Below are 9,128 nucleotides of genomic sequence, written 5' to 3'. Positions count from 1 at the left end.
AGCTGCCCAAGACCATAGGAACCAACCCCTTGCATCAGCATGACCTGGATGTGAGACATGGAGGCAAAGGAGATCATTTTGGAGCTTTAAGATTTGACTGTCCCACTGGATTTCAGACTTTCATGGGGCCTGTATCCCCTTTGTTTTGGCCAATTTCTCCCATTTGGGATGGCTGTATTTACTAATGCTGTACCTCCATTATATCTAGGAAGTAACTAACTCGCTTTTGATTTTACAGGCCCATAGGTGGAAGGGACTTGCCTTGTCTCGGATGAGACTTTGGACTTTGGACTGTGGACTTTTGAGTTAACACTGAAATGAATTAATGCTGAAATGAATTAAGACTTTGGGAGACGGTTGAGAAGCCATGACTCATTTTAAAATGTGAGAACATGAGATTTGGGAGGGGCTGGGGTGGAATGGTATGGTTTGGCTGTGTCCCCACCCAAATCTCATCTTGGATTCCCATGTATTGTGGGAGGGACCCGGTGGGAGGTAACTGAATCATGGGGGCAGGCCTTTCTCATGCTGTTTTTGTGATAGTGAACAAGTCTCATGAGATCTGATGGTTTTGAAAAGGGGAGTTTCCCTGCACAAGCTCTCTTCTCTTGTCTGCTTCCAGGTGAGACATGCCTTTCACCTTCTGCCATGATTGTGAGGCCTCTCCAGCCATGTGGAACTGTAAGTCCAATAAACCTCTTTCTTTTGCAAATTGCCCAGCAATGTGAAAACAGACTAATACAGTGGGAGATTACTTCTCCATACCCTCTTTGTCTGCCAACCATATCACCTCTGCTGTTTCCTCTCCCCAAAAGGTAACCCATGTTAACCTCTGATTATGATCAAATAATTATATGTATTTATTTATATAAATACCATTTCTTTATATATTTTGAACATATTAATGCATACACAAGTGTGCTAAAATTTATATTTCTACTGCTGTCACCATCTGTAGCTTGTATGATTTACAGAATTTCATGAACAAAAATACATGAAGTAAAAGGAACCATTATGATGTAAAAGCATATAGATTAATAATATTCTGCTTACTAAAAGTTTCTTTTTTCTTTTTTTTTCCTTTGGAGATGGAGTTTCTCTGTTATTGCCCAGGCAGGAATGCAATGGCATGATCTTGGCTCACTGCAACCTCCATCTCCTAGGTTCAAGCGATTCTCCTGCCTCAGCCTCCCGAGTAGCTGGGATTACAGGAGTGTGCTATCACACTCGGCAGATTTTTGTATTATTAGTAGGGACACGGTTGCACCATGTCGGTCAGGCTGTTCTCAAACTCCTGACCTCAGGTGATCCACCTGTCTTGGTCTCCCAAAGTGCTGGGATTACAGATGTGAGCCACCGTACCCGGCCTACCAGTGGTATTACCCAGGGATATGAATAGCTAAGCTATACTTTAGGCACAAACCAGCACTATTATCAAGATGCAATATGTGAACTCATCTTTCTTCTAGCATCAGTTCAGAATTAATTTTAATCTGTGTATTGTATACTGCTGCCAAAAACTCATTAACCACAATTAAATTATGAAAGTACATGTGTAAATTTATGGATAGCAATACACAATCCAAAATATGAGTTTGCTATAAAAATAAAGCATATGGGTAGAATCATATTAATTATAAGTAACCAGAACTGTTAATAAGAAATTAATATTAAAATATATTGAATTTGATATTTCCATAACTGAAGTAAACTAATTTAATAAGCGAAGCTAACCAGTCTAAAATATCAAAGGAGAATAAGAATAAAGTTTATTATTAAACATACAAGCTAATCAACTTACTTTCTTATATTTCTTGATAATATGTTGAATTTACTTTCGAGCATGTTTTGAAGAGGTAGTTAGTCAATCTTTATGTCCCTTTTGAAGATATGATGAAATAGTTACATCTCTATTATGGAATAACATGAAGTGGTTTAAAAAATGAGTGATGTATGGTCTGGCATGGTGGCTCACACCTGTAATCCCAGCACTTTGGGAGGCCGAGGCAGGTGGATTATCTGATGTCAGGAGTTCAAGACCAGCCTGGCCAATGTGGTGAAACCCCATCTGTACTAAAAATACAAAAATTAGCCAGGCGTTGTGGCGGGTGCCTGTAATCCCAGCTACTTGGGAGGCTGAGGCAAGAGAATTGCCTGAACCTTGGAGGCAGAGGTTGCAGTGAGCCAAGACTGCACCATTGTACTCCAGCCTGGACACCATGAGCAAAACTTCGTCTCAAAAAAAAAAAAAAATGATGAATGATGTATTTCTAATTCTAGTGAGAAGGAAAGAGTATCAGTGCATATTGTCAAGTGAAGAAAGCAAGCTCCAGAACAAAGCCTATGTATGTTCCTATTTATTAAAAACAAAAGCCACATATGTATACAAATGTACTCTATCTTTCTGTTATAATTTTATGAATGCACATGTATGCAAATACATATATTCATATACATAAGACTTAGTCTAAACAGGAATATTCTTTCAGGAGGGAATCTTGCTTCTCCTACAGAAAAATACCTAACATGGCAGGGGCAAAGGTAATATTGGACCAAAAAAATCTGGACCTATGTCTATTAAATTGCTCACAGTGTTTATATAATATCGGTGAAGGGAAGTAAAATTGAGGTTAGTGAAAGATACTCCACGTTTTACCCTAATACTTTTCTACTGTTTGAATTTTTTATAGTTATAATACATTCAGGTATAATACATAATTTATATATAAATACTATATATATACACATACACACACATATATATATATGTGTGTCTATATATATTTTAATAAGAAACAAGGTCTTTCTCTCTCACCCAGGCTGGAGTGCAGTGCAGTGATCATAGCTCACTGTAACCTCAAACTCCTAGGCTTGCGTGATCCTCCCACCTCAGCCTCCTGAGTAGCTGGGACTACTGGTGCATGCCACCATGCCCAGCTAAGTTTTAAAATTTTTGTAGAAACAGGGTCTTGCTATGTTGCCCAGGTTGACCTTGAACTCCTGGCCTCAAGAGATCCTTTCCCCTCAGCCTCCCAAAGTGCTTGTATTACAGGCATGAGCCACTGTGCACAGCCTACTTATATTATTTAAAAAACAATTAATCAAATAAGTTGGTTAGGATTAGTTTCAGTGGCATAAACAGAAACTTAAACAATGTGAAAGCTTATTTCTGTCTCCTTCTGCCAGGTGAACACACAGTGTTCATCCCCTCAGGAGGACACAGCTTTTGAGGTACCATCTTGGAAGCAGAGACCAGCCCTCACTAGACACAAACTTCCTGGCACGTTGATTTTGGACTTCATAGCCTCTAGAACTGTGAGAAATAAATTTTTATTATTTATAAATTACCCTGTATTGGATATTTTGTTATAGCAGCACAAAAGGTCTAAGACAATGACTGAAGGACGGAGCTATAGGACTCAAAAGACCCTGGTCTTGAAGCCAGAAAGACCTGGCTTTGCCAGTAGCATGGTATTTCAATTAAGTATGATTAAACACTCTTCGAGGGAATAGAAAGGGGAAGGAAGAATGGAGATGGATCATTTGTTTCATGCCTTTTACTTACGTGTAAGGAATTATGAGCAGGTGCCTATGGATTTTGGAATATGCTTCTCTAACACTATAAAAATTAGAAAGTGAAACTTATAGCCACAAATGTCCATTTAAAATTTCTAATGACAATGGAAGAAATTATTTAGACTCTCTCCTAAACTATTACACCATACATCATTGCAAAACATTTTTTTTCATTTTGCCCAACCTCCACTCCTGTCATTCCACCACTCCTATAGTATCTAAAATATAGTTTCTTTTAGAGAGATTGGTGCACCACTCAACTTGTCAGCTTGAGGGCTTTGAATGGTGTTTTCTTTTTTTTTTTTAATTTCATGGCAAGCTGACTTACAAGTGACTCAACTGTAAGCTAAGACTTATTAATAGCATGGTTTAACCACCAAAGATAATGAATTCAAACAATGTTACTCACAGCCTTTAATGTCACAGCCCCTAAAAACATTGAAATGTACATTTTTCACCTGCTAGTCATCTTCAGTATTCTGGAGAGGAAATATTCTTTCCTGTCCTTACAGTGGTTGTATATCTTAAAAGACGACTATATGACACTTGAATATTGATATTCAACCTTAACCAAAGCAGTCACAAGAATACAAGCCATTGACCTCTGGCCTTTTAGATATGTTCCCAACAAGTTCATGTGTACCCAATGAAAAATGTTAAATAAACTGATAAACTTTAAACATTTAAAAATATTTTATTTATTTACTTGCCACAGCTAGATAAGAGGAACTGGGTTAATTTTGAAACTCTCAGCTTCCTTTCCTCTAAACCAGTAGCTATTGCTGGCCACTAGTATGTTGTTTCCTTTGCAGGAAGTTGCAAAAATGAGAAAGAAAAAAACGAAAAACAAAACCAAGTTGGTATTATTTTTAGCTTTCTTCTTATTTGGATATAGCTACAGTTCTTTTTCTTATGGTGATTAACATAACTATTCAAGAGAGAAGAACCAAGCAAAGGGGAGTAGTAGGGAATTAGTAGGGAATTGTGCCAAAGGACATATGGCAAGGTTATTGTCAGAAAGCTGAGCTGCTGAAATCCAGACAGTTTAAGAGCTTATCTGCTCTGCTCTGCTCCACCTAGGAGGACTCCTACTACAATGCAAAGACTCAAGTTTCACCTTAATTAGGTCTTTCCCAGGCCAGGTATTAGTGACCTTGGGAAAAAAGTTTAAGCTTCTCAGCTTCAGATCTTCCTCTGAATATTAGCACTGTGGTAATTGGCACAGTGGTACCTAACCCTTTGAGGGTCCAGGATTGTTTTAATGGTGAGTGATTTACAAACTGAGTTTAAAAGAGCAAGGAGGATCCAATTTCGCAAAATTTCATTAACTCTGCTTAAGAAAACAGTATATTATATTAGCTTAGATCAGGAGTTGGGAATCTATAGCCTGCTACCATTTATTGTGTAGCCTGCAAATGGTTTTTACATTTTTAATACATTGGAAAAAAAATTAAAGAAGATTATTATTTCGTGATGTGAAAATTATACATGTTGAAAGGAAAACTTTAGAGTTTAATTGAGTAAAGAATGATCTGTGAATTAGGCAGCCCCCAGAACCAGAGTAGGGTTGGTTACAGCTGAGCATTTGCCTTATTTGAACCTGGTTTGAAGAGTTGGCTGCCTGTGGTTGGCTGAAGTTCAGCTGCTGTGATTGGCTGAGACTCACTACTTGTTACAAGAGTAGGTTACATATCAAGTTTTACATATCAAGTTGAAATATAGTTTTTTATGTACTGGGAAACCTTTAGGGTAAACTTAAATTATGTAAGGAGGCAGCTTTAGGCCACAATGAATTTAACAATTCCTCCTTTTGGTCAACCTGTCAATTTTGAGAGGATGATTAATTTTGAGGTTGCCCAAAACTTTAGGCACTGACATCACTTTTTATCATCATAAATAGAGTTATTTGGTCTCTAATCCCATTGGAAAATAGCAGAACACTGGATTTTGTAAGGTGGGAACAAGGAAACAGTATAGAAAAAAAAACTGATTGGTTAACATCAGATTACTTTTTTATTTTTTTGTCACCCAGGATGGAGTGCAGTGGCACAATCTTGGCTCACTGCAACCTCACCTTTCGGGTTCAAGCAATTCTTCTGCCTCAACCTCCCAAGTAGCTGGGACTACAGGCGTGTGCCACCACACCCAGCTAATTTTTGTATTTTTAGTATAGACGGGGTTTTGCCACGTTGGCCAAGCTGATCTCAAGCTCCTGACCTCAGGTGATCCACCCGCCCTGGCTTTCCAAAGCGCTGGGATTACAGGCATGAGCCACTGTGTCTGGCTGAGATTGCTTTTTTGTAAGTAATCTGTTGTTACTTTGGGTTACTTTTCTGTAAGGGATAGAGCAGAGGGGACTTCCTTATTATACTGGAATCTTCTGTCTTCAGGAGAAGAAAAAAAAAAACTCGTCTATTTTGGGACCTGTTTTTTAAAGTTTTAGTTTGATTTTGTGGTGCTTAGCATGAGCGACTCCATTTTGGTTTGGTCTGGTCTGCTTGGGATTAGTGCAGGAGCTCAGTCCAAAACAATGGCCTCTCATAATTTTGTTTAATACATGAAATTCAAATTTCAAACTTGTAGACATTTGCTCTCTCTCTTATTATATAAGTACCTACACAATGTCCTCAAATTTGCTTTTTGATCTGTAAAGACTAAGATATTTATCATCTAGTTTTACAGAAGAGTTTGCAGATCTTCTGGTTTAAAAGAGCAGGAGATTTAGTGTCAGGCAGGTTTGGATTGAGCCCAAGGGCTGCCATTTACTGATTGTATGACTTTGAGCAAGGTATTTATCTTTTCTAAGCCTCAATTTCCTCATCTATAAAATGGGCACACAAATAGTATTTACCTTGGAGAGTTAAATGGGATAATGCATTTAATGTGCTTAACACAGTGCCTATCAGATGCTTAGGGGCTCAAAACATTATTATTGTTGTTGCTGTTGTTGTTTTACCCTAAAGTAAATGAGACAAAATAGCAAAGCTAGATGAGGAGGAATTTTTAAGATACATCAGAAACTGTAATAGATTCTAAAATATTATAATTAAGAAATTTCATACTTATTTAAAAAGGCATTTTCAATTTAACAATTTAACAATTTAACCCTCTTATAAGTTAAAAAAAAAAAAAAAGCCCGGCACAGTGGCTCACGCCTGTAATCCCAGCTCTTTAGGAGGCTGAGGTGGATGGATCAGGAGGTCAGGAGTTCAAGACCAGCCTGGCTAACGTGGTGAAACCTCGTCTCTACTAAAAATACAAAAATTAGCTGGGGGTGGTGGTGCATACCTGTAATCCCAGCTACTCAGGAAGCTGAGGCAGGAGAATCGCTTGAACCCGGAGGCAGAGGTTGCAGTGAGCCAAGATCGTGCCACTGCACTCCAGCCTCGGCAACAGAGCAAGACTCCATCTCAAAAAGAAAAAAGAAATAAAAATAAAAAGTCATGCCCAGCTATTTTGGGAGAACTGAAATTACAACTCTATCTGAGAAAATAAAATGACAGGACTCCACAGAATCCATAGATAAAAATTTAACTGAAGAGGAATATGGAACAGACTAAAGGAAAAATTTTATCAAGCTGTAATCTTTATACTTGTGCCTAAGGCCAGAACTTGAAACTGCTGAAGACAGTGTTTCTCTACAAATGCACACAGGCACCCCATTTTGATGCACAGATAGGTGTTTATTTCTTTTAAGAATAGCAGCTTTATTGAGATAAATTTCACATATGATACAATTCACCAATTTAAAGTGTACAAGTCAATGGTTTTCAGTATAATCAGAGTTGTACTACCATCACCATAATCAATTTTAGAACATTTTCATCACCGCCCAAAAACCACTGTAGTCTCTCCCCAGTCCTCCACTCCTGGGAACCATTAATGTACTTTCTGTCTCTATAGATTTGCCTATTTTGGTTATTTTATATAAATGGAATCATACAACATGTGGTCTTTTGTGAATAGCTTTTTTCACTTACCATAATGTTTTCAAGATTGATTCATTTTGTAGCAGGTATCAGTCCTTTTTCCTGTTTATTGCCAAATAATTTTCCATTGTACGGATAGATCATATTTTGTTTATCCATTTGTCACATTTTGGTTGTCTATCAGTTGATAGATATTTGTGGTGCATTTAATTTTTGGCCAATGTGTAAAACTTATTTTGCTCTCATTGAGGCTACATACTGTTACAACAATGCTATTTGGTCAACTTGACTGAGCTGGCCTCATAGGTTACAGGTTGTTCATTGTTAGAGATGAGACTTTAGACCAGACTGGACAACATAGTGAGACCCTGTCTCTACCAAAAAGAAAAAGAAAAATTAGCCAGATGTAATGGCATATGACTGGAGTCCCAGCTACTTGGGAGGCTGAGATGGGAGGATCACTTGAGCCCAGGAGTTTAGGACTGCAGTGAGCTGTGATCGTGCCAATGCAATCCATGCTGGGCGACAGAGTGAGACCCTGTCTCAAAAAACAGAAAGAGGGATTTTAGTATAACATTCAGCCAGTGCCATATTGGGAACCCACAAGAATGTACTTTTAAAAATATGTCAAAGAAGATGGTGAGGGCTGTAATAGCTGCTATTCAGGCAGTAATGCAGTGCTGAAGGGACATCAAGCAAATAGTGTGATGCCTGTGGGTGCAATGTTACTCCTTCCCTTAGGTTGCCAAAAAAATCAATACTTCATAGCATTCCTGAAACGAAAAAGCTTATGAACCATTGTGTTTAGGGCGTAAGCTATCTATTTTGGGCTACCCATCACAGCTTCTCTCCTTTGGCAGAATACAGTGAACTGAACCACCACACCTAAGGTATTTGCCTTATTTCTTCCTCAGCTGGTTCATGGTTACATTGTCAAAGCTGGCAAAGCATTCAAGACCTGATTTCTCAGACCGAGTGTATGTGTGAATATAATATACTCATTTGCACAAATATAAACCCTCTGTCTTAACTGTGTTCTGCAAAAGGCGTGATAAATACTTTCAAGTTATATGTACTTATCAGTAGAACTAATGGAATACACACAGTATATTTTATGGGGAATTTCAGAGAAGGAAGGAAAAGTCAACCTTTTATTTGGCATCAGGATAGTAGTAAAACATTCTACTTGTGCATCAGATAGATTTTTATGACCTAACCTGGACAAGTAACTTAACTCTTGGTGCCTCATGTTTGAAAGAGGGATAACACTCTACAGGGTCATTCTAAGAATTACATATTGCCAAAACACATGAAAAGATTCTCAACCTTGTTAGTAATCAAGGAAATGCAAATGAAGATCACAATGAAGTCTTCTTTTGTACTCAATTGATTGGTGAAAAATGCATGCCTGATAATATTGACATACAGACCAATGAGATCTCTTATAATTTGCTGGGAAAATGTATCAATTTGTACAAACATTTTGAAAAATAATTGTGCATTTTCTTGTGAAGTAAAACATTTGAATAATCTAGGACCCAGCAATTCAACTCTTAGACACTCAAGAGGAAGTTGCACACACATATGTCAGGAAAAATGTTCATAGCAGCCCTGTTCATAAGA

At 37.9% G+C, this 9,128-nt stretch overlaps 1 long non-coding RNA gene across 1 annotated transcript; it reads left to right on the top strand.

Moving 5' to 3' along the window:
- Positions 1-526: 526 nt before the first annotated feature.
- LOC105379525 (uncharacterized) lies at positions 527-7,523 on the top strand. The gene is made up of 2 exons (XR_951306.3): positions 527-681; positions 3,187-7,523. It is a non-coding gene; the product is annotated as an uncharacterized LOC105379525 (long non-coding RNA).
- Positions 7,524-9,128: the final 1,605 nt, after the last annotated feature.

Source organism: Homo sapiens, assembly GCF_000001405.40.
Source record: "Homo sapiens chromosome 9 unlocalized genomic scaffold, GRCh38.p14 Primary Assembly HSCHR9_UNLOCALIZED_CTG2".
Lineage (NCBI taxonomy): Eukaryota > Metazoa > Chordata > Mammalia > Primates > Hominidae > Homo > Homo sapiens.
This window is presented reverse-complemented; position numbering and strand designations above follow the sequence as displayed.